The sequence below is a fragment of the Homo sapiens genome, chromosome 9 (assembly GCF_000001405.40).
Source record: "Homo sapiens chromosome 9, GRCh38.p14 Primary Assembly".
Taxonomy (NCBI): Eukaryota; Metazoa; Chordata; class Mammalia; order Primates; family Hominidae; genus Homo; species Homo sapiens.
Window position 1 is genome coordinate 89,721,619 of NC_000009.12, and position 24,083 is coordinate 89,745,701.

General features: G+C 47.8%; 3 annotated features.

The window, feature by feature from the left end:
• Nucleotides 19,381-19,430: a silencer, noted in NCBI's record as "silent region_20018". NCBI's record gives its function as "represses an Ori minimal core promoter by ATAC-STARR-seq in GM12878 lymphoblastoid cells {active_cell/tissue: GM12878}" and the evidence as "EXISTENCE:reporter gene assay evidence [ECO:0000049][PMID:35858748]".
• Nucleotides 21,525-21,574: an enhancer, noted in NCBI's record as "active region_28556". NCBI's record gives its function as "activates an Ori minimal core promoter by ATAC-STARR-seq in GM12878 lymphoblastoid cells {active_cell/tissue: GM12878}" and the evidence as "EXISTENCE:reporter gene assay evidence [ECO:0000049][PMID:35858748]".
• Nucleotides 22,175-22,234: an enhancer, noted in NCBI's record as "active region_28557". NCBI's record gives its function as "activates an Ori minimal core promoter by ATAC-STARR-seq in GM12878 lymphoblastoid cells {active_cell/tissue: GM12878}" and the evidence as "EXISTENCE:reporter gene assay evidence [ECO:0000049][PMID:35858748]".

The window sequence follows — 24,083 nt, forward strand, 5'->3', positions numbered from 1 at the left end:
GGGGCTTGCAAGACAGATGGGGTGAGGTGGGGTGGGCTGGGGAAGGTGGTGGAACAGGGCCCAAAGGTTATGATCTGGGTGACTTTCAGACCTGCAGAGCTGTCTGGGCATTAAACGCATGATAGCCCCCAGGAGTTCCTTCCAGAGGAGAAATAAAGAAAGGCCTGATTGCAGAATGACTGTCATGATAAGCCAGTGAGATGATGGAGGGGGGTGTCATAAATTTGGGGGTTTGGGTGTTAGGATGCAAAGACCAGTGGGGAAAGGAGAAGAGTGTGATTGCATTTTCCATACCATATTTTTTAGCTCCTAAATCAATCTCAAATTATGTGTTTCGAAGTGCCCTGGAAACCATTTGTAGCCCCAAAACAACATTAAACAATTCAGAGATGTTGTCAGAGTTATCTGGACTAGAGGGCCTCTCATGAGGTCAAGGAAGATGGTTGTGGTTCTCAGTCAGTCCACTCCAGGGGCCCTTGTGCTGCAGGGCCCTGCAAGCAGTGGGCAGCTGCCCTGGCTGCCGGCTCCCACTACTTCCCTGCTCCGCCGGGTGGCCCTCACTCCACTTTCACTCAGCGTGCTCTGCCCCCAGCCTGCCAGAAAGGTGCTGATTCTGCTGCCCAGGGAGGGCTTTTCCCTACTGAGTGGCCAAGAGCCGCTGTCAAGGGCTGTCCCGCTTTGCCTTGATTTGGCCTGGTTTGGTCCTCTGCCTGGTGCCTTTGAGTTAAGCACCCTAAACCAGGCACAGGCACCAGGGCCACCTGAGGCTGTCTTTGTGTTCCTGATGTCCTCTTCTATGAGTATTGCTCTGGATTTAAACTGGTTTAAGCAAGAGAAGACAGCCCAGAGGCGCCGCAATCCTGGCTTAGTTTTCCTCTAGTTGGATTTGCACAAGATTCGAGGTTACTTTTGTATAGGAGAGGAAATCAAAGCTAAAGGCATGGTGTTTTGATGTGAACAGGAAGGGCAGAACAATCAGAGCTGATTGTATACAGCCAGGTGACTCTGGGAGAAAATATATAACCTAAAATCATTTCATAGAAAACATATATGATTCAAAAGATTTGAACGAAGTACTTAACCCATGAAGCTAGATAAAAAGCAAAGTAAGCCTAAAGAAAAGGAAAGAAGCAAGAAAAACAAATGCAGTAGTATTTGAAATGTCATGTTAAGTGTAAAAGAAATGCAGTAGATAAGGTCCATGAATCCTCAGTCTGGTAACCCCTCCCTTCCCCAGTAATCACACAAGCACACACAACCTGTCTCATAAGCCCGATCAAGTAGGATAAGGGAGAATACAGCCTTGGAGGTGGAAAGAGTCCAATTATAGGCCAGGTGCGGTGGTTCATGCCTATAATCCCAGCACTTTGGGAGGCCGAGGCTAGCGGATCACCTGAGGTCAGGAGTTCAAGACCAGCCTGGCCAACATGGCGAAATCCTGTCTCTATTGAAAGTACAAAAATTAGCCGGGTGTGGTGGTGGGTGCCTGTAAGCTCAGCTACTCAGGAGGCTGAGGCAGAAAAATTGCTTGAACCTGGGAGGCGGAGGTTGCAGTGAGCTGAGATAGCGCCACTGCACTCCAGCCTAGGTGACAAGAGCCAGACTCTGTCTCAAAAAAAAAAAAAAAAAAAAAAAAGAGTCCAATTCTAAGAGGTTAAGATGTCCTTTTTAAATCAATAAATTTGGAGATCCACATAGAATTGATGATTTTCTCAGAAAACACAATCACACTGCCTCAAGAATGAGAAGAGTTCTGAGTGTACCAAACATTACAGAAGAAATAAAAATGTCAAAGTTCTACTTCCATAAAAGGCATCACACACAGTTTTATAGACTAATGAAGCGGTGGCCAATTCCCACAATATTTAAAATATTTTTCAGGGGATTAAAAGGAAAAAACAAACCAAAACCCCAAAAACCTTTGCATGTAATTCCACAAAGGGAGAAACACACTTAAGAGTAAGATTGAATAGAACAAAAAAGAAAAGTATTTCCTAATCTTACTCATGAATATGGCCATGCAACCATCCCAGCCACACCAGCAGGAGTCGGAGATGTATTCTCAGCAGAAATGGAATGACAAGACTCTGCACTAGGAAACCCCAGACCCAGCTGGGGAAAGTGAGAGGAGAGTCTGCCCAGTACAGGGAGAGATCTTCTCCATTCTGCTTGGCTCCCATACACGGGGCTAGGCATGTACCTGCCCCGTTGAAAGAGACTGGAGAATTCTTATCTGAAGAATCTCATCCAAGAGGAAGCACACCCCAGAGACTCTGACATGGCAGGCTTCCAATGGAATGGCCAGGTCCTTGATAGATTACTTAGAATTCCATCTGTTTGGAAGCTAAAAACCACACACACACACACACACACACACAGAGTTTCTAATCCCTATGTGTATAAACTTTGAAATGTAAATATTTTAAAAAGTGCATAAAATAGACATACAGTAAGTATCATATTTAATAATGACATTTTGGAAGCATTTCTCTTATTGTCAGAAAAAATACGGATACTGACAACAAATTTAGACGTTTTACATTGTCTTAAGATCACTGCAAGAACAGGGAAAAGGACATAAATATTTAAAAGTAAGAGACACAATTTTAATTATTTATTTGCATGTAAAAATACAAGATAATCAAATTTATTTGGATTAATATGACATAATTTGGTAGTCAGATCCAAAGTAAATTTACAAAATGTAAGCATTTTTCTAAATGCCAGCAACAGGAAGATGTAATTTTAAGAACAATCCTATTCATACTATTATTGAAAACTCACAATATTTTGTAATACACATAAAAAGACACGTGAGGTGGGCATGGTAGCTCAGGCCTGTAATCCCAGCACTTTGGGAGGACGAGGCGTGCAGATCACGAGGTCAGGAGTTCGAGACCAGCCTGACTAACATGGTGAAACCTCGTCTCTACTAAAAATACAAAAATTAGCCAGGCGTGGTGGCAGGTGCCTGTAATCCCAGCCATTCTGGAGGCTGAGGCAGGAGAATCACTTGAACCCGGGAGGCAGAGGTTGCAGTGAGCTGAGATCGCGCCACTGCACTCCAGCTTGGGCAACAGAGACTCTGTCTCAAACAAAAAAAGACACATGTGATACGTATTGTTATGGATTGAATTGTGCCTCTACCACATACAGATGTTGAAATCCTAGTCCCCAGTACCTCAGACTGTGGAAGTGGAGTCCTGTCAGTTGTATTTAATTAGCTAAGTTAGGATGAGGTCATACTGGAGTAGGGAGGGCCCCCTAGCCCAACATGGCCAGTGGTAACCTTATAAAAAGGGAAAACTTGGACACACACCAGCACAGAGGGAGAACCCCACATAGAGGTAAAGGTAGACCTTGGGTGATTCTTCTACAAACCAAGGAATGACAGAGACTCCTGGAAACCTCCAGAAGGTGAGAGAGAGGCCTGAGACCGCTTCTCCCTCATAGCCTGGGGAGGAGCCAGCCCTCCTGATACCTGGATCTCAGACTTCTGGCTTCCAGAACTGTGAGACCATACATTTCTTCTGTTTAAGCCACCCAGTCTGTGGGACTTTGCTATGGTACCCCTAGTGAAACGAATACACCCATATATAGGACACTAAAAACCTTTACTGAAAGATCTAAAAGAAGACTTGAACAAAGGGAAATGCAGGAGACTCTTCGGTAAAAGGCTAAAACTGTTCATATACCACACTCCCCCAAGTTAGTCTACAACATCACTGCAATAACACAATGCTTGCTGAAGTGGTCACTTTCACATACTGTTTGCAGAGGGCAATTTGTCAAGAGTCAACACATTTGGAACTTTGCCCACCTTGTTTGCCTGTCATTCCACTCAGGATTCCAGCTTTTAGAAAGAATTGCATCTGATTGTAAAAACCCAAGTTCAAGAAGTGAACTTGGTCTATAATGGGAAATCATTGGGGAAAACCCATAACTGAGTGTCAATGAAGGATTGGTAAATAAATTATGGTATATACAAAGTCTAGAATTCTATTCATTGGTTAGAGTATTGAAGTGTCTGTATATGTGATGGTGTGGGAAGATAGCTAGGATAAACTTTTTTTTTTTTTTGAGATAGAGTCTTGCTCTGTTGCCCAGGCTAAAGTGCAGTGGTATGATCTCGGCTCACTGCAACCTCTGCCTCCTGGGTTCAAGTGATTCTCCTGCCTCAGTCTCCCGAGTAGCTGGGATTACAGGCACTTGCCACCATGCCCAGCTAATTTTTGTATTTTTAGTAGAGATGGGGTTTCACCATGTTGGCCAGGCTGGTCTCGAACTCCTTACATCAAGTAGTCTGCCAGCCTCGGCTTCCCAAAGTGCTGGGATTACAGGGCTAATCCCTACCGCGCCTAGCCTAGGCTAAATTTTTAAGTGACAAAATTAGGTATGTTGGAATACAAATGCTGCCATGATTTTTTCAGAGCATCAGCTTGAGTTCCCAGATACAGACTAATGGGAGGTCCTGTATCCTTCTCAAGATGTTTCCTTACTCCCCAATCACCCAAACACCCCCAGGGGTTATGCAATCCAAACAAGAGATTCTCTGCCTTTCCACTGCCAGGCAGGGGTGGATCCCAGTGTCTGTTCCCTTGCAACCGTCTCCTGCAGCCTGGCAAGCTTGGTGTCAGGGACTATGTTTGCCTTGCCTGGCTTCCTGCCCCAGACGTTCTGGGAAGTTCTTGTGACTCCACTTCTCCTTAATAGGTGTATTAGTCTGTTCTTACACTGCTAATAAAGACATACCCAAGAACAGATTATTTATTTATTTATTTATTTATTGAGACAGAGTCTCGCTCTGTCACCCAGGCTGGAGTCCAGTGGTGCGATCTTGGCTCACTGCAAGCTCCACCTCCCTGGTTCACACCATTCTCCCGCCTCAGCCTCCCGAGTAGCTGGGACTACAGGCACCCACCACCATGCACGGCTAATTTTTTGTATTTTTAGTAGAGACGGGGTTTCACCGTGTTAGCCAGGATGGTCTCGATCTCCTGACCTCGTGATCCGCCCGCCTTGGCCTCCCAAAGTGCTGGGATTACAGGCGTGAGCCACCACGCCTGGCAAGAATAGGTAATTTATAAAGGAAAGAGGTTTAATTGACTCACAGTTCCACATTGCTGGGGAGGCCTTGCAATCATGGTGGAAGGCGAATGAGGAGCAAAGTCACATCTTAGATGGCGGCAGGCAAGAGAGCTTGTGCAGGGGAACTCCCATTTATAAAACCATCAGATCTGGTGAGGCTTTTTCACTACCGAGAACAGTATGGGGGAAACCACCCCCATGATTCAATTACCTCCACCTGGCCCCACCCTTGACATGTGGGGATTATTACCACTGAAGGTGAGATTTGGGTGGGGACACAGCCAAACCATATCAATAGGCTCATCTGCAGGCTTGGGACTAGGTTAGGCTACTTGGTTCTTGGGGCTTCCAGGTTCCTGCCACTTGAAGGTTGTAGGGGAGGGGGTTCTTTCCTCTCATATCCCCACCTCTTCTCCCTGGTGACCCAAACCAGGGCACACAGCCTAGGGCTGTCTCTGTTCTCCACCTCTCAGCCATGGGACCCAGACTCTAGTTTCTCTCCCTGTCTGAGACATGTAACTTCATTCCCATCATGGGCTGAATCTTCAGAACATGAAAACCCGTTTATATTATACACTGCTTTCAGGCCAGCCCCTTCTCCTGGCAATTTCTTTCTTTTGGAGGTCTTAGGCACAAAAAGCTGGAACAAGTGAGTGGCTATATATTTTATTCTCATGCCTCCCCCTGAGTCATGGAAAACTTTTGCTTGAAAACTCCAGAGTTTCTCTTGCTAAAAGCAGGAAAAAAGAAAGGCAAAATACAAATTACATATTCAGTCAGTCACCTTGTTATATATTTATTAACAAAAAACAAAAAAGCCACCCTCCTCAACCCACACATTTTAAATAAGTGGGAAAAGATCTGAGAGGATTCACACCAGAGTGCTACCAGGAGTGACCACAGGCTGGCAGGGGGGTGTGGAGGGGAGATGGGGTGATTATAAGGGAGACGTCTTTTTTGCTGTGTAAATTTAACATTTGATGTTTTACAAGCATGCATTACTTTTGCAGTTTAAAAAGTCAATAAAATCCATAGATTTGTAAGCACTTACGAGTTTACCTAGTGTTTTAAATTCAGTAAGTACTGTGTTTGTTAAACACCTACCATGCACAGTACTAGTCTAGATGCTGGGAACGCAGTATAAATGAAGCAGTGTCAGCAAAGCCCCGTCTTCCTGATGCTTCCACCATACACACACATAGATTTTTCTACTGATTTTTTCCAAGAGGAAAAACCAGAATTATTGTCTTTTTAATATTTTATTTTATTTTAATTTTAGCTAAAGATTCACATCTATAAGGATTGGTAGAGTATACAAAATTTTGTCTGGATGTGGCGGCTCACACCTATAATCCCAGTCTTTAGGAGGCAGGTGGATCTCTTGAGCCCAGGAGTTCTAGACCAGCCTGGGCAACATGGAAAAACCCCGTCTCTACAAAATATAAAAAACAAAAATTAGCCAGGCATAGTAGCTCATGCCTGTGGTCCCAGCTACTCAGGTGACTGAGGCAGTAGAATGCTTGAACCTAGGAGGCGGAGGCTGCAGTAAACTGAGACTGCACCACTGCACTCAGCCTAGGTGATAAAGCAAGACCCTGTCTCTAAATAAATACATAAATACATAAACAAAGTTTTATGACATCTGCAACAATTTTAATGAGCTGCTCAAATAATTGTGGCTTCTGTGGTGACAAAATCACAGCTATCCCAAATCCTACTGTGAAGGTACTTAAAATCACAGTGAAGACAAGGCTCAATTCCAATTAGAGGGTGGTTGGAAATAAAGATGGAATTCTTTCCCCATTCAAGTTCTCAGACTCTTTGACTTCCATCCACAGACTCCTTGGATAAATTCTTTCGAGTGAATTTGTGACTTTGGTGAATTACTCCAGGGTGGAGTTTGGTGAGCTAATTTTTATAAAATTAAACAGGAAGGTATATATACACTGAGATGGGTTTTGAAAAATTAGTGCTGCCAAAGTCAAGGTGAATAGAAGAGACACTGCCTAAAAAAGTCATCATCTTCATGTGCTCCCCAGAGGACATGGTGAAGGACTCTTCAAACCCCTCTGGAAGGCCAAGGAGGGGAAGAAGGGAGAGGAAATTGCCTTGGAGCTGCCGGGAAGGCTGTAGGAGGGTGCTGGTGTCTCCTGGGGCCCTGCAGCCCCTCCCTGCAGTAATTTAGGGAAACAGGACATGTTGGTTCCCCACAATTCCTGGACCACAGCAAAGCTTTGTCCCTGGAAGTCCCCTCCTCATCCCACTCTCACTAAGCCTCCTCCCTTCAAAGGAAGAACAGCTTCTGTCTCTGAAGAAACCTTCAAAGGAGGGGGACAGAGCAGGGGCCCTTTCCATGGGGTGAGGGAGCTCGCAGCTCACCCCTGGGCCTGTCCCCATAGCTTCCGCAGACTGGGAGGGAGGAATGTGGCCCATCCTTCTAAGATATTGATGGGATGAATAGACCTTTTGAAAAGTCAGGGTGGAGAGTCTGGTCCTGGGGAGTTTTAATTACATCACCCTCGTTATCAGTCTTTGCCTTGACATGGAATTTTTTGTTGCAAGAAGGGAAGGAGGCAGTGCAGGGCCAGGTGGGGCTGCCCAAGGGTGTTGTGAGGCTCAGATAGTGCCTGGAGAGCCCTCCTGGCGCTTGGGACTGATGAGCTCACCACAAGAAGGGCCATGACCTCATGACTGCGGGACATTGTTTTTTTTTTGGCCTCTGGAATTGCCAAGATTAGCTACATGTATATATTATTTTCTTCAGGAACCATAGGCATTCCTGAGATAGGAGGATTCTGTACATTTGCAAACCTGTAGGGTTTGAGACTCACAGTGACAATCCCCAGCTTCTAGGGCTGTCATGAAAATGGCATGGGATGCTGACCCACATGGGGTGCTGTGCATGACACACTTTGCTGTTATCCACTAAAGCTCCCCTCTGCCTGCCCACTAATCAAAGGGGTTTAAAGGTTTGAAGCCTGGCTCATGTAAAAGCTGTGACTCAAACTTCAGGATTGGGTGTTAAAATGGAGGTTACTATGCGCCACTTCCTAACAATTCTAATACAGGACTCGTGTGTGTGTGTGTGTGTGTGTGTGTGTGTGTGTGGTGGAGAGGGTGTATAATGTGTGCTGTGTGTGGGGTATATAGCTTGTATGGTGCATATAATGTGCGTTTCTGTGTTTCTGTGGTGTGTGTGTAGTTTGTGTTGTGTGTATGTGTGTGTGGGTGTGTATACTGTGTGGGGTGTATAGTTTTTGTGGTGTGTGTAATGTGTGTAGTTGTGAGTGTGTGTTCGTAGTTTGTGCTGTGTGTATGTGTGTGTAGGGTGTATATTGTGTGTGGTGTATAGTGTGTGTATGTATGTGTGGTGTGTGTGTAATTTGTGCTGTATGTATGTGTGTGTGGGATGTATGTGTATATGTATGGTGTGTGTATGCGTGTGTGGAGTGTACTTGTGTGGGTTTGTGTGGTGTGTATGGTGTGTGTGTGGTATATGGTGTGGGGGGGCATGTGTAGGTGGCATACAGTGTGTGTGAGATGTACAGTGAGTCGTGTGTGTGTTGTGTGTAGGTGGGGTGTGTGCTGTGTGTGGTGTGTGTGGGTTTACAGTGTGCGTGGTCTGTATGTGTATGGTATGTGTATGATGTGTGTATGGTGTGTGTCTGGTATGTGAATGGGGTGTGTGCTGTGTGTGCTGCATGTGGGTTTACAGTGTGCGTGGTTTGTGTGTGTATGGTATGTGTATGATGTGTGTATGGTGCATGAATGGGGTGTGTGTGTGTGTGTGAGTGTGTATGCAGGGCAGGGAGGAGCCAGGAATCTTCATGATTCCCCAGTGGTTCTGCTGCAGATGTTGCAGAGATCATACTGCCTCCAAACCCTGGATCAGGGCTAGCCCAGGTATATTTTTATTTGCAGGTTGTATACTAAATACAGTTAAACAGTGGGGAGAACAAAACCAGCCTGGATAGTGTCTAAAAAAAATAAATCCCACGTACCATAGGATGTTAGATTTTAGTAAACTTCGTCCGTCCTGCTTCCTGCAGTCTCGTGAGAAGGCCGGGACACCAGGCTTCCAGCTTGAGTGTGTTTACCCAGCGAGCTGGGGGTGGTGGAGCGGCGGAGCTGGTGGCTCTGTCCCGCCTCTGTGGCTGGGGCCCAGTGTCAGTGGGCAGCATGCTTTCTGGCCTCCACCTGCCTTTCGGTCAACATTGGAACACGTGTCTCCTGCTGCTCTGTGGTGCGGCCTGTGGGCGGCGTGGGAGGTCCTAGGTGAGCTAAGTAGCGGCCAGTCTCGGTGCCCTTGGTGAGCTCTGCCCTCCGGTTGTGTCAATAACTCCATCTCTAGTTTGGCTCAAGAAATGTTTCTAGTTAATTTATAAAACAACGTGTCCCCCTTTGACTCTTGCAAGTAGCTGAATTCTGTTACCTAGCCAAATTATTTTAGTCTAAGAAAATTCCAGTTGTAGGTGCTTTAAAGATTTTGGTCTGTGGAAATTCATGGTATAATATTTGAGTGTGGTGCATGTGGGTCCTGGCTCAAGACCTTCATATGAGAGATGATCTTTTTCGTTATGATATATATATATATCCATCCAACTATCTATCTGTGTATGTGTCATATATACCATATTACCCAGTTGGAAATAAATAGAATAACCTGATCTTTCTCCCCACCCACATTTTCCTTTCATTTTCTCCTGAAGATGTCTTCTTCAAGTGTGAAGTACTTCTCAACAATCTCTCCAATCTTATGATTAACGCTTAGTAATAGAGCTCCCTTTTTAGCAGCCTGTGGTGTATTTGACCAACCTGATCTCTTCCCTAACATGGCTCTTGCCTTTTGGTGCCCACTCAGCTGCGTTACCTGCATTACCTGCATTACCTGGAGCATGTCCAGTTGCCCTGGTCCCAGAGGAGCTGTCCTGGCTTTTGCCTATTCTGTGTTGCTGAGGCTTCCTGCCCTCCGTGCCACCTTTTGCGTGGCTGCTTTCTTGCCAGCTCAGCACCTTCATAGCTGCATGCCACCCCGCCAGCTCCCTCTCTGGATCATCTCTCTCTATAAGGAGATTACAACTCTCAGGAAGGAACAGGTTTCCCCCTTCCCTCCTGCTGCCCCTAGTGCCTCTAGGTCTCACCCTAATGTGGATACGGCATCTCCAGCAGGCTGGGCAGGAGGCTGCTCAGCCCAGTGTTCTCTGTATGGATGGCAACCATACAGGACAAAGTGACAGAATGGTGCATTCATCTGAGAGCCCCAAGGGCCTGCTTGATCAACCATTCCTGTCACTTTCAAACTCCAGTTTACCAGTGGAAGCAGTCTAAATGCCATTGTGCACAACAGATAAAGGCAGGGCTGGTCTGGATGAAAGAGAGGCCGGTCTCAAGGTCCCCAGCTTGGGTGGTGGGCTCCTTTACATTCTCACAGCCCCCCGTAGCATCTCCTAGGCAGTTTCAGAAACCCCCCTGGGACTTGGGGACAATCAGGTGTGGAGTCTCAGGACTTTGTCTCTAATCATTCTACAAAAGAGCTCAGGATTTTTGTTTCCTTCTGGGGATTAAGGAAGCAACATTTGGATAAGATTTTAGTTGGAGAGGAAAGAACCCTTTAGTAAAAATATATTTTGTGTTCCCCCTTCCTCTTCTCAGTGCTTTCAGGGAAAGTTGAAAAGGAAGCAATAATTTTCTATTTTTGATGAGCAACTTTTACTGTGCAGGTGGAGGAAGGACTCTGCCCAGGAACTAGGCAAGTATGTAAACAAACTGTCCTGGGCTATAAATAATTCCTTTCCTGTCATGACTCAGGGGGGTTGCGGACAAGCCTCCTTGAACAATTCAGAGATTTACAAATCCCACTTTTGTTATAGAAACATTGCAAAAGTAGCTTGTAATTATTTATCCTCTTTTTAAAAAATTTAGCCTTTGGGAGAGAATGGGCCATGTTTTCTCTGATGGGGCATCCTCATCCACATCAGTCTGCTCTGGAACATTGTATGTCAGTCTGTTCTTGGAATCCAGATGTGGAGTGCATGGAAACCCGTCCAGCTGGGCAAGCCCAAGGTCATGGACACGCGGGGTCTAGCTTTTAGAGTCTGAATGCTCTGCCCTGACCCCCACACAGCACACACAGCTTGTTTACTGGCAGGTGTGACCAACAATAACAGGAAAAATGACCCTCTCTTCTGAAAATCACGATTATTAATGGGGAAAGGGTGTATTATGTGGCTGCAATGTGTACTTGCCTAGAAATTTTAAATTGAAGGAAGAATCATAGGAAAAATTCTTTTTCCCCTCCATGAATCAATTTTTGGGAATTCATTTTCCAGATAATTCTGCTGTCCTTGGGGCTTTTGGAACAAGGAGAGTATTTAGTGCTTTCCAAGGGCTTTTCTCTCCTCCCCTGGCTGTGGTCCACATTCTGTTCAGGTTCCCTTTCACTGGCTCTACACAGAGCAGAGGAGGCTTGGAGGTGGGCTCAGATGGGGCTGCGGGCCTCATACCAAGGACACTCCATGTCAGGAGCTGACCCTGGGGCAGAGACTGTCAGGTGGGCTTGGAAAAGAATGTCTGGCTGCAGAGGAGCTTTGTGAAGTTTCCTTCCGACACTTTGGTGGAGGTCGGGTCCTAATGGCCTGTGCGGGGATGCCCCTGGACCTGCGGTCTGTCTGGGTCTGAAGGTCATGGACAAGTTGAACCTACCGTCCTTGCCTCCTGGCCCCTTGCTGATGAAGTGAAGAGGGGAGGACCCCACAGTCTCTTCTATCACTCTCCCTTTTTCTTCCCTTCTTTCCTTCTTCCCTCTTCATTTCCTTCCTTCTCCTCCTCTTCCTCTTCTTTCTCATATCCAGACAAAGGTGCATGCACACAATGGGATGCCCAGTCTTGGGTGTCTCCACGGAACCAGGTCCAGAAGCAAATGCTGCAGACTATGTCATCCTGCTTGGGGACATGGAAAAAGACACCACACGGTCTGGCAAGACCACGGATAAAATCCAGGGGATTTGTGAACATATATGAGGAAAGATTCTATCTTGGTTTTCACTAACATCTAACTGCACTTCAGCATTTCCATCCCCTGTATTGATGGCACCTCTGACCTCTGGTAGAAGCACAGCTAATGTTCTTTCAGGGTGGTTGTTGCAAACGTCTTGATAGTTCATGTATGCTCAGCACTACTTCAATAGGGCAGTGTATAGATTACTGCTATTTAGTGTCTTAATGAAGAAGAACACACCAAAGTTTTAAGAAACATTTTTTATAGTGCAAGTTTACTGTACAGGCATACCTTGGACACATTGTGAGTTTGGTTCCAGACCACCGTGATAAAATGAATATTGCAATAGAGTGGGTCACATGGATTTTTTGGTTTTCTAGTGCGTATAAAAGTTACGTTTGCCGAGTGCAGTGGCTCACGTCTGTAATCCCAGCACTCCCAGAGGCTGAGGCGGGCGGATCACTTGAGGTCAGGAGTCCAAGACCAGCATGGCCAACATGGTGAAACCCCATCTCTACTAAAAATACAAAAATTAGCCAAGCATGGTGGCAGGCGCCTGCAATCCCAGCTGCTCGGGAGGCTGAGGCAGGAGAATCGCTTGAACCTGGGAGGTGGAAGTTGCAGTGAGCCGAGATCACACCATTGCACTCCAGCCTGGGCATTGCAGTGAGACTCCGTCTCAAAAAAAAAAAAAAAAAAGAAAAGAAAAAAGGTTTGTTTACACTATACTGTAGTCTACTAAATGTGGAATGCTATTAAGTCTAAAAAAGTACATAGCTGAATAAAAAATACTTTATTGTTAAAAAATGCTAATGATTATCTGAGCCTTTTGCGAGTTGTAATCTCTTTGCTGGCGGAGGGTCTTGCCTGGATATTGATGGCTGCTGAATGATCAGAGTGGTGCAGCATTCCTGTGACGAGGTCACTGCAGCTGGTGGACCTGGAGGGCAAACACACATGAGGTCACTGCTGCGTGGCTGCCAGGAGCAGTGGAGAGGGCTGCAAGCGCCCTGGCAAGGGCCCTGGGGAAGTCAGCATTCCCAGGCATACCCGTTCCCTTGACAGTTGTGATTTTAGTTTCCGTAAAGAAGAATACTTCTAGTCATAGTCACTTTAGACATTATTACGGTTTTAAAATTTCATAATCAGAATGTGCAATACAGAAACACCGGACGCTTTCATGGAAACAGCAAGAGCAGAAGCAGCTCCACCTATTAACAACCTCCCTGGCTGATGCAAAGCCGGTGTTGGGAAGCCATTGGCAAACGCTGTCAATTTTGTTAGTTTCCTATTTTTCCTTTGGTTCCCTTTTGTGATTTTCTAAGCCTGATAGCTTCTTCGGAGGCATAGCAAACAAGTAAGGGTTTCTTAAACTGCATATGCCCAATAACAGGCCAGCGTGGGCACTGAAGCCCTCTGTCACAATGTCTGTTGCTCTGGCCTGGGCTTTAGCACTGCTGCTCAGAGTCAGCTTTCTTACTTTTCGTTTTGGAGATGGTCTTGTCTTTGGTGATCTGTTTAGACATTCTGGATAGTTATCTGGCCCAGATTTTGTGGTCAAGACTCCATCCACCTGTGAGCCCAGCAGGGGCCCAGAAGCATTCATATGTGTCCGTTTTTAACACGCCGAGATCCACGTTGCTTATGCTCAAAAGACAAAACTCGTATTCAGTTTAGTGGATATTCAGCCTTTCTTCGTGCTTCAGAGACATTTCTGACTATAGTGAAATGGACCTAAAGATCCTGTGGGACGAGGCAGCTCCTTACAGACCAAAAACAGGGAAGAAAGGTGAGGGCAGGGCTTGGGTCTGGCTCTGGGGTCCTGGCAACCCTTTTAAGTGGGACACGCAGGGATGGAGAAGGATGTGGTAGGAACACCCAGCTAGGCTTGCGTTGTAGGAATATCCGTTCTGGTCCAGCACAGTCTAGCAAGCCTGCAAACCACTAGGAAAAGCCTGAATGCAACTTGGGCCATATCTGCTGTGACACTGGGCAGTACAATGGCAGTGGCTGGCAAGGTGTGGGTTGGCCAGGTTGGTATCTAGGTATCTTCAGAGGCCCTGCTCATTCCGGAGAGATCCCTGAAAACTCCCAGTCTTTACTGGGACCTGGAGGTTTTAGGGGTTACATGAACTAGAAAGAGCCTGGGTGTGGTGCAGAATGATACCAATCTAGCTAGGCTGCAATGACATTTTTCCAGAAGGCCCTGGAATATTAGTTTTCTACTGCTGCAAGACAAACTAAATAGGGTAAAACAGCACCCACAGTTTCTACACATCTAGATCCCAGGCACGGCTTGACTCGGTCTTCTGCTTAGGGTCTCCCAAGGCTGCAAAACAGGTGTCACAGGGCTGAGGTCTCATCTGGAGGCTGGAGGTTCAACTGGGAAAGAATCTGCTTCCAAGCTCACTCAGGTTGCTGACAGAGTTCACCTCCTCTTGCTGCCAGACTGAGGTCCCCACACTCTTGCTGGCTGTCAGCAGGGGCTGCTCTCGGTTCCTTAGGTCTCCGCAGGTCCTTGTCCCATGGCCCTCTCACATCATGGCAGCTCTTTCTGCAAAGCCAGTGATGGGGAGAAAGTCTCTCATGTCAGAAAGGGCCCTGATCCTTCTCTTGAGCACTTTCATCTATTAAGTCAGGCCCTCCCAGAATAATCTCCTTTTTGATAACTCAAAACCGGCTGATTTGGGACTTTCATGACAACCGAGGACTGCCTTAATGGTTGCCATATACTATTGGTTAGATGCAGATCTCAGGTTCTGCCTGCCCTCAGGGAAAGGGGCCGACAAAGACATGGGCCCAAGGAGGCACGAATTATCGAGGGGTCCCAGGCCTGCGTGCCACACACAGGATTTGGGTGGCAGAACAGTGAAGCCTGAGCCTTTGCACTTGAGGCTGGTGAAGGGTGCTGGGTGTGCACTGTGTGCCAGTCTCCTCTCAGCTCCCACTGAGCTATTGACCTATAGCAACACTAGGCCCTACACTAGAGGCAAGGGCAGCAGCCTTGCAGAAACTCTTCCATTGGCTCCCGTCATTGTGAGAGCTCTGAGCACCGTGGTCTCTTGTCCCCACTAGTCTCCACCACTCTTAGTAGGTCTGTGTCTGAGTGAGTCATGCTGGATGCAGGGGGCCAGCGTCCAGGATGCTCAGACCTGGGGGCTGTGTCCTCATCCCATCAGCCCATGGCAGGAAGTCACTGCTGGTCCCTGCCTGTTTCAGGACATGGTTCTCCACCTTCTTTAGGGTTTTGCTGTTTGCAGTGAAGCACTTGCTAGGGAAACTGCATTTCCTATGCAAAGATGAAGTGTAGGGAGGGTCACACTGGGGAGAAGTGGCCACCCAGGCTGGCTTCAAAGCCCCCTTGATGACCACTAGCTGTGGCACCCCCTAAAGCACAAAAGGCTCAAGGAGAAGTCCCCCTTCCCCCAAGTCCTCCATTTATGGCACTTCAGCATCCAGAATTCCTGTGCCATCAGCTGGAAGGGAGCTTCCAGGCCTTGGACTTTGCTAGAGAGCTCAGGGGCTCTCTCCTCCATAAAGCCTTTCTTCCCTACCCCTTGACCCTCTGCAGCCTTATGTCCTCTTTCCTGTGCTCCTTTGCACCTTGTGTAGAATTTGTATAAACCTCCATTAGAATTGCTGATTTGCAGGCCTGTCTCCTAGCTAGCTAGTGAGCTTTCTGAAGACAGGCAGCCAGGGATGTTTATCTTTGCATCTCTGGCACCCAATGCATTACTTGGTGCATCATGGGCACTTGGTAAGTGTTTGTTGAATGACTGAATGAAGGAAAAGGAGTACCCGAAAAATGAAGTGATTTACTTGCTCAGAGACACAAAGATGTGAGTGATAGGGATGGAATAAAACTCAGGTCTCACTGATTATCCATTGAATAAAAACTTTGGCCCTAACATTGTTACTCTTGGCCACTTCTAAAAGGAAAGAGCCTTCATTAGCACCGAACAATGAGAGCAACTGGCTTCCCGGGCTCTCTCTGGATCTTTCTGAATCTTCTAAGACTCAGTCAAGGTTTTTCTCAGAGGAACAGGAGGCAAAGGCATAGACTGAGCCAAAGGCGTAGACTCTGGATTTGGTCTCACTGAGGTTTAAATCTTATTTTTGTCACTAGCCAGATGTTTGGCCCAGGGGAAGTGATCCGACCTCCCTGGGTCACCATTTACTCATCTGTAAATGTGGAAACAATAACGATGCCCACAGTCAGGGTGGCTGTGAGCATTAACCCAGAGAGCACTGGTGAAGGCTGCCACCTATTCACTTATTCAGCAAATATTTATTGAGCTATTATGTGCTGCTTGTTCCAAGCTAGGTCCAGGCTATGACGAAGACCCAGGGGAGCTGAGCTGTATGGGGAAGCCAGGCATGGAAACAGAAGATTGGAATGCCAAGGTGCCCCCGAGGGTAGGCCAGAAGACTCATGGACCATGGGTGGCAGAAGACCCAGGTGTGTAGTGGGAGTGACAGAAAATCAAGGAAGGCTCAAATAAAACCCAAAAGCTGGGTTTCAGCTAAGTCTTAAACATAGGGGTGCTGGTAGCTGCTCGGTATATACTAGGCTTGCCTCACTCGTTGTCATTCATTTATTTATCATCAAGTACAGCTAATCCCGTGCTTATGCAACTGTTCCATCCCCAAAGGTCTTTGTCAACTTGAACTTTGCATGAGAAAAAGATAACCTACTACATGTTTTTAAATGTTGCTTTGCATTTAAAGTTACAGATCTCCTTATGAACACACACCCCTCTCTATCTGCATGTCATTTCAAAACGCTTCTCCTTGAGGTAAAACCAAGTGGAGTTTGCATGGCTGGGAGGGAGGGTTTGGCCTTGTTCACACTTTAATCCATCCATTTTGTCTTCTAACTTGATCTCTCATTTGTGGCTTTCCCAGCTTGGACCCTTCCAGTCGTGTCCAGCAGGCAGCAGAATGTGTGTGTGCATGCGTCACCGAGAGCAGCAAGGATGGGACTGGTGTCAGACGAAGCCCTTGAAAGGGACACGCCAGCTTCTGGGGAGCAGCTTTCCCGGCACTGTCTCTGCAGCCTCAGCCTGGCCTAGCTCTGATTATGGCTCCCTCTCTTGGAGACCTTGTCACATGCCCTGCTGGGGATCTTGCCGATGTCCTTCCAGGACACTCTTCCCTGCTCTCACCTTGCTCTGTGCCTCAGAGGCTGCCCTAGATGAACTCTGTCAGACAGCTCCCCTACTTGGGCCTCCTTTTGAGGTTCCCTCAGTGGGGAGCATCCTATGCCTGAGCTGCAGGGTCTCACGGAGGTCCTGCCTCCACTTCACATACCTGGCTCCTGCTTTATCATTCTTTGAAGTTCACAGTCCTCCCTGAAACTCCATCATTCAGTGCACTCCTGTTTCCCCGTAGATAAGCTCAGGAAGAGCAGGAGCCTTTCTGTCTTGCTCACTGATGAATCCTTACCACCTAGAGTAGTGTGGCTCCTTGTAGATGCTCAATACATACTTGCCCAGTGAATGAACGAGGAATGTTTCTGTTTGGCTCCATGATGTCAAGTATTACAGTGATTGAAACCAATGAGTTGGAAATATAAATGAGAACACTATCAAGACCCATGTTCCTCAAATTAGCTTAATTTCTCTGAATTTGAGACTGTCCTTTCTCTTTTTGCTGTTCTTGCTGGCAAGCCCTGGGAAGGGGCAAAACAAAAACAAAAACAAAAACAAAACAACACAAAACAAAACAGTCCAAGTTTAATGAGGGATGCAGAAAAACCAGAGAGGAAGTGGAAGCCAAATGGCTCCATGGACTTCCAGCCACAGTGGCCACTTGCAGGAGAGCTTCCCTTAGGCTGGAGGGCACTGTCCAAGCATTTAACTCGTCTTTCAGTTTTCCTTGATCATCTCCAAAGTGGCACCCACATCCTTTCTTTCTCTCATTTTCTCCAAGCCGCTTGAGAAATTCACAAGAGTCATGGTTAGCGTCTGAGCGAGGAGAAGCTGGGGCTTAGAGGAGGAAGAGCTTCCAGCTGACCTCAGCAACTGCAGGGTTTAGTGATCTTTGGGCTGATTTTGAGTCAGAGGTGCCTTTCCTCCTTAATGCTAGAAGATGGTTATCACATGCATTGTTGTGCATGGGTTGACTGTTTTTGAAAATAACCCAAGAAAGAGTACAATGAAAAAATCTGAAAAACTGGTCATCAAGGGTTCTAGTAATGACCAGTATTTTCTTTCCTTGAAAGACCTAGTCGTTATCTATGTCCTTATTTCTCGGACTTCTGATGATACTGCATCATTAATATCTCCAACAAGGCCAGAAGGGCCACGGGGGTGCTGTCCTCACCTTGGAGACAGGGATCCACGTGCTGGCCCTGGTGGTCAGACAGGCAGGGGCTCAGTGGTGGAGTGGCAAAGGGGACCCGGCCTCAGAGGTCACTGTGCCTCAGTATTTTGGGCTTGCGAGTAGCTTTTTGTGTTGGCAAAGGGCTCTCAGTGCACCTGATATGGCTCACTCCCTGTCTGTAATCAGAGCCACGCTGCTAGACCCGGGTCATTTTCTGCTTCAGGAAAGGAGCCATGGCTGGGTGGTGGCTATCAGTCTAGAAACAGGGTTTCTGATTCTTTCGGCCAAGAATGATGGAAAAAATGGAGCTGGGGGTGAGAACTTAGCCCCAAACATCTTCTGTGAGTTAAGACTATTTTGTATTTCAACCCTTGATTTTGTTGCTACCTCCTTCCTCATTTTCTGGGGAAAAAAAAGTTCCTAACTGCACTTTAAATATATCTAGGCTGCTTGGGGCTTGGACAGACACTGCTATGTCGATGTTGCTAGCAGCGTTATTTGCAATAGCCAAAAGTTAGAAACAGCCCAGGAGGCAATCGATGGATGAGTAGATAAACAACATGTGGTCTATACATATGTATTAATTAGGTTTTTAATTTTTACTATTTCCTGATGCTGTGACATCTGGGACCTTGCTGACCCTGGAGGGGCTGCTCGTTCCAGGGACCAGCTGATTTCCAGTGAAGTTCCCCTGCAAACATCCCTTTCATAAGCAAACCAGCCAGTCCCAAGCCACCCCAACTACCTCCTCTATGGGGCTCTCACAGTCCAGGGCACTATCTCCCTGCACTCATCAGCCCAGGGCACGTACGAGACACCTAGGGACAGCCCCTGCACCCTAGAGCCTGCTGAAATCATGCAAACTAGCCAACCCTAAGCCTGCTTACCCTGCCTCGCTTGTTCCTTCCTGCGGAAACCCCAATAAAGGCTCCTGCCCACGTCTGCACCCCCTGCCCCCGTCCCCACCCCTGCCCCCTGACCCACCCTGGTGCTTCCTTGTGTGGCCCGGGGTGTGGCGTGCCCTGCCTCCTGTGTCCAGAGTCTGTGAATATTAACTTTCTCCTTCCTAACAGTCTTTTCTGTGTCTGAATTTCTTACTACACCTGATTGAAACAAATCCCCAGCACATTTTAAAACAACATACATGGAGTGTAATTCAGCCGTAAGAAGTAATGAAGTTCTGCCCCATGCTACAACATGGATGAAATTTTTTTTTTGTGTGTGTGTGTGTGTGTGATGGAGTCTTGCTCTTTTGCCAGGCTAGAGTGCAGTGGTGCTATCTCGGCTCACTGCAACCTCCGCCTCCTGGGTTCAAGCGATTCTCCTGCCTCAGCTTCCTGAGCAGCTGGGATTACAGGTGCATGCCACTGCGCCCGGCTAATTTTTTGTATTTTTAGTAGAGACGGGGTTTCAACATGTTAGCCAAGATGGTCTCGATCTCCTGATGTTGTGGTACACCCGCCTCAGCCTCCCAAAGTGCTGAGATTACAGGCGTGAGCCAAGGTGCCTGGCCACAACACGGATGAATCTTTTTTTTTTTTTTCTCTTTTTTTTTTAGAGACGGAGTTTCGCTCTTTCTCCCAGGCTGGACTGCAGTGGTGCTGTCTCGGCTCACTGTAAGCTCCGCCTCCCGGGTTCATGCCATTCTCCTGCCTCAGCCTCCCGAGTAGCTGGGATTACAGGCGCCCGCCACCGCGCCCGGCTAATTTTTTGTATTTTTAGTAGAGACGGGGTTTCACCGTGTTAGCCAAGATGGTCTCGATCTCCTGACCTCGTGATCCGCCCGCCTCGGCCTCCCAAAGTGCTGGGATTACAGGCTTGAGCCACCGCGCCTGGCCACGGATGAATCTTAAGGATGTTATGTTAAGTGAAGCAAGCCAGGCCCCCAAATGCTCCGACATACCGTGAAACACAACTGAGGGGTAAGAAAGAACAAACTATTGATCCCTGCGACAACTTGAATGAGCCTCCAAGGCATTAGGGTGAAAGAAGGCAATCTCAAAAGGCTACACATCCATGTATATGACATTCCTGAAAAGGTGACCTAGGGAGAAAGAGTAGATTGGTAGTTGTAAGCGGTTGGGGTGGGGGAGGTTGTGAATATAAAGGGGAGGTACAGGGAGTTTTCTTGGGGGATAGAACATCTCTGTATCCCAGTTGCAGTGGTGGTTACACAATCTATACATGTCTTAAAGCTCATAGAACAGTACACTGAAATAGTTATTTTTATTATTTATTAATTGAAAAAGGACAAAAGAGGTAAAATGACTCTATCAATTCAATTGAGATGTCATTATTTTTATTTTTATATTTATTTATTTATTTATTTGAGATGGAGAATTGCTCTACAAGGCTGGAGTGCAGTGGTGAGATCTCGGCTCACTGCAACTTCTGCCTCCCAGATTCAAGCGATTCTCCAGCCTCAGCCTCCCGAGTAGCTGGGACTACAAGTGCGTGCCACCACACCCAGCTAATTTTTCTATTTTTAGTAGAGATGAGGTATCACCATGTTGGCCAGGCTGGTCTCAAACTCCTGAACTCAGGTGATCTGCCCGCCTCGGCCTCCCAAAATGCTGGGATTACAGGCATGAGCCATTGCACCCAGCCTTGAAATGTCTTTAAAAATACCTTTACCTTTAGTCAGATACCTAAAGGATAAAAACTGTATGATTCCACTTATTTGAGGTAGCTAGTGTCCCAGCTACAATCAAATTCGTAGAAGCAGAAAGTAGGATGGTGGTTGCCAGGGGCTGGGGTTGGGGGCTGGGGAGTTGTCTAATGGGGATAGTTTCAGTTTTGCAAGATGCAAACGTTTTGAAGATGGAGGGTGGTGATGGTTGCACAACAGTGTGAATGTTCTTAATGCCACTGAACTGTACGCTGAACAACGAATTAAGACAGTAAATTTTATGTTGTGCATATTTTACTACAATAAAAACCAGCTAGGCTGCTGGCCAGCATGTCCATCAGCGCCGTGGGTGGTGGCTCCTGAGGGTGGGGTGCAGTCTCCCTCATCTACCCAACACCTGCAGGCACCTGGCCTGGGATACCTCATTCCTGGCCAGGTATCACATCATCCTCACATGTCTTTGGCCTTGGGAGCCTGGCTTGCCTGGTGACCAGGGGCTTTGCTGTGATCCTGATGGCTGCTGAGAAGGTCTCTCTCTTACCAAACCAGAAGAAAGACATCCTTTATGGCAAATAGCACCGTGAAAACAGCTGGGCCTACAAGGGTTGTGGCAGCAGCTTCTGCCTGAGAAACCGCGGCCGGGTCGTTGTGGCCTCAGGGAGTCCAGGCCTCTGCTTGCTTGGTGGGACTCAGTCCCAGCTGTGGGTTGCTATCACTGCAGCTGTCTGCTCTCATTTTGCATTTTTGTTCATCTGGAGCCCTCCCCACCTCACCTGCAGAGCCCAGGAGGTGGCACACTCTGGGAGGTCCCAGGCAGAAGAGCTGGCTTAGGGTGGTGGGTGCCCCATTGCCTGGGATTTGAGAACCTGCCCCTTTGGTTTTTATAATTAGATTTCTAACAGGATCCAAGTGAAACCACAACCCAAACCCTAAGCTGTGAACCCAGCAGCTTTTCTGAGCACACCCCTCCCCTTACACACATCACAGGCCTGGGACCGTGGCCTCCAGGCTCGGGGAGACTATAGACCTTTGTTTGCTTCCTTTCAGGGCTTGAGGCGGTTTTTCTTCCCCTCCCCAGTCTTGCAGATTCTTTTGAAAACCCCAGAGTCCCACTTTCAACTCCTTCTTCTGGTCTCTGATAAAAGGCATGCTAAGAATCACTTCTAACAGTTTCAGTGAGAGCTAAGAAAGCTGTCTGCAAAGACAGGACATCAAAGCACAGAGCTCAGGTGTGCTCTGGCTGGCCTGAGACAGCCCTGTGGCGGGAGGGAGCGTCTGCAGCCTCCAAACTGGCCCTGCTGCCCCCAGGGGTCCCAGACTTCCCTGGCTGCAGCCCCTGCCCTGGGCCTCCTGGCTACTGCCCGTCTGTACCTAGCCTTCTGGCAGGAGCCAGAGAGCTGACTGCCAGGAAAAGCCACAGCGAACCCTGCAAATTGCCCAGATACCTGGAGACAACATCTTAATTGCCCTGTGAAGAGCTGCCTGGCTGGAGAGTCCCTTTCTGTGGGTAGGCAAGGTTTGAACTTCAAAGAGGTTCTCGCCTGGTTCACAATGTTTACAGCAGCTCCAGGAGTGACAGAATAATTTTGGTGTCCTTGGAGAGAGTTGCCTGGCAGGGCTTCTATGTCTGCTGTGGTCTAAGAGCCTCAGGGGGACCACGATTTGTGGGACTCACCACAGACAGCCCTACTGTCCCGGGAATGCCGCCGGCTCTGCTTTTATGGTGTCTTTGACTCCAGCTCTAGGCTCTGGGCATCCACCATGGGGTGGGGCCAGGGTATGGGCTGGCCGGGGGCTAAGTTCACTGACCGTGGCCAGCCCGGTCCTGGGCATGTGAGGATCACCACCTATGTGTCTCATTCCAGAGTTTCATGGTTGGGGGCTCTGGTGGGGTGACAGGTGATTTATCAATTTATTTCCATCTTCTCGACTCTAGCCTCCTTGCAGGAAGGGGGTGGGTTTGGAATCATCCCCTCACTCCTCAGTCATCACCCAGGGCAGTCCCTTACATACCTCAGCTTAGGCCTGGCTGCTGAGAGTGTGTGTGATGGTGGATCATGCCTGCTGGAGAAATGCAGGCCTGGATCTTCCTGTTGCAGATGGATCCACTGTTCCAGTGTCACTACCTAGCCCATGCTTCACGGCATAAAGCAATGCCTATTTCCCTGGGCTCATGTGTTCTGTGAGTCAGGTGTTCAGGCAGGGCTGCTGGAAAGCTCACCCAGAGGGGTGACTCCATAGCTGGGGCATGCAAACACCTGGGTGTGTTCTATCTGCGGGCTCAGGGCTGGGCTGGAAGCTCTGCAAGGCTAGGCTTAGCTGGGCAGCTGCCTGGAGCACTTCTGTGTGGCTTGAGCTTCCTTACAGCATGGTGGCCTCAGGGCAGACTTCCTCTATGGAGGCCCAGCACTTCAGAATGGGTGTTGGTGGAAAAGTTAGAAGCTGTGTGGCCCCTAGGATGCCGCATAAAAGCCCAGCTTCTACCTTTCTACCTTGGCCAATCCCCAAGGATTGCTTTTATCATATGCCCTTGGTGGAAGCAGCAGGCCATCCCAGATTCCAGGGAAAGCCCATAGACCCCACTCTCAGTGGGGGAGGGCCAGACACCACATTGACATGTGTGCTTATCCCATGAGGAAAACATTTATATTTGTTTTATTTTTATTCCTCAAAATAGACCCTTGAGTTGTGGATAGACAACTTAAATGCAAATCAGGAAACCTGAGTCCTGGTGTCAGAACCCCGGGAAGTTAATGAAGTGTGGTAGGCCACAGACACGCTCAGCCTCAGTTTCCTTATCTTAGTAGTGAGGGTGCCATCATGGTAGTTTAATGTGCTGCCTGCAGAGAAAGTGCTTAGGGAGGAGGTGAGGACTGTCTCACACCAGTCCACTCCCCTGGGGGACACGGGGGCTCTGGGCACCCTCTGCCTCATGCCCACAACTCCTGCAGAAATTGCTCCTGATCTAGGTGTGAGGATTGTGGGGGGCCTGGGTGGAGCCGGCTGCACTGATGGAAAGTTGCTGCTGGGGAGAGTCACTCTAGG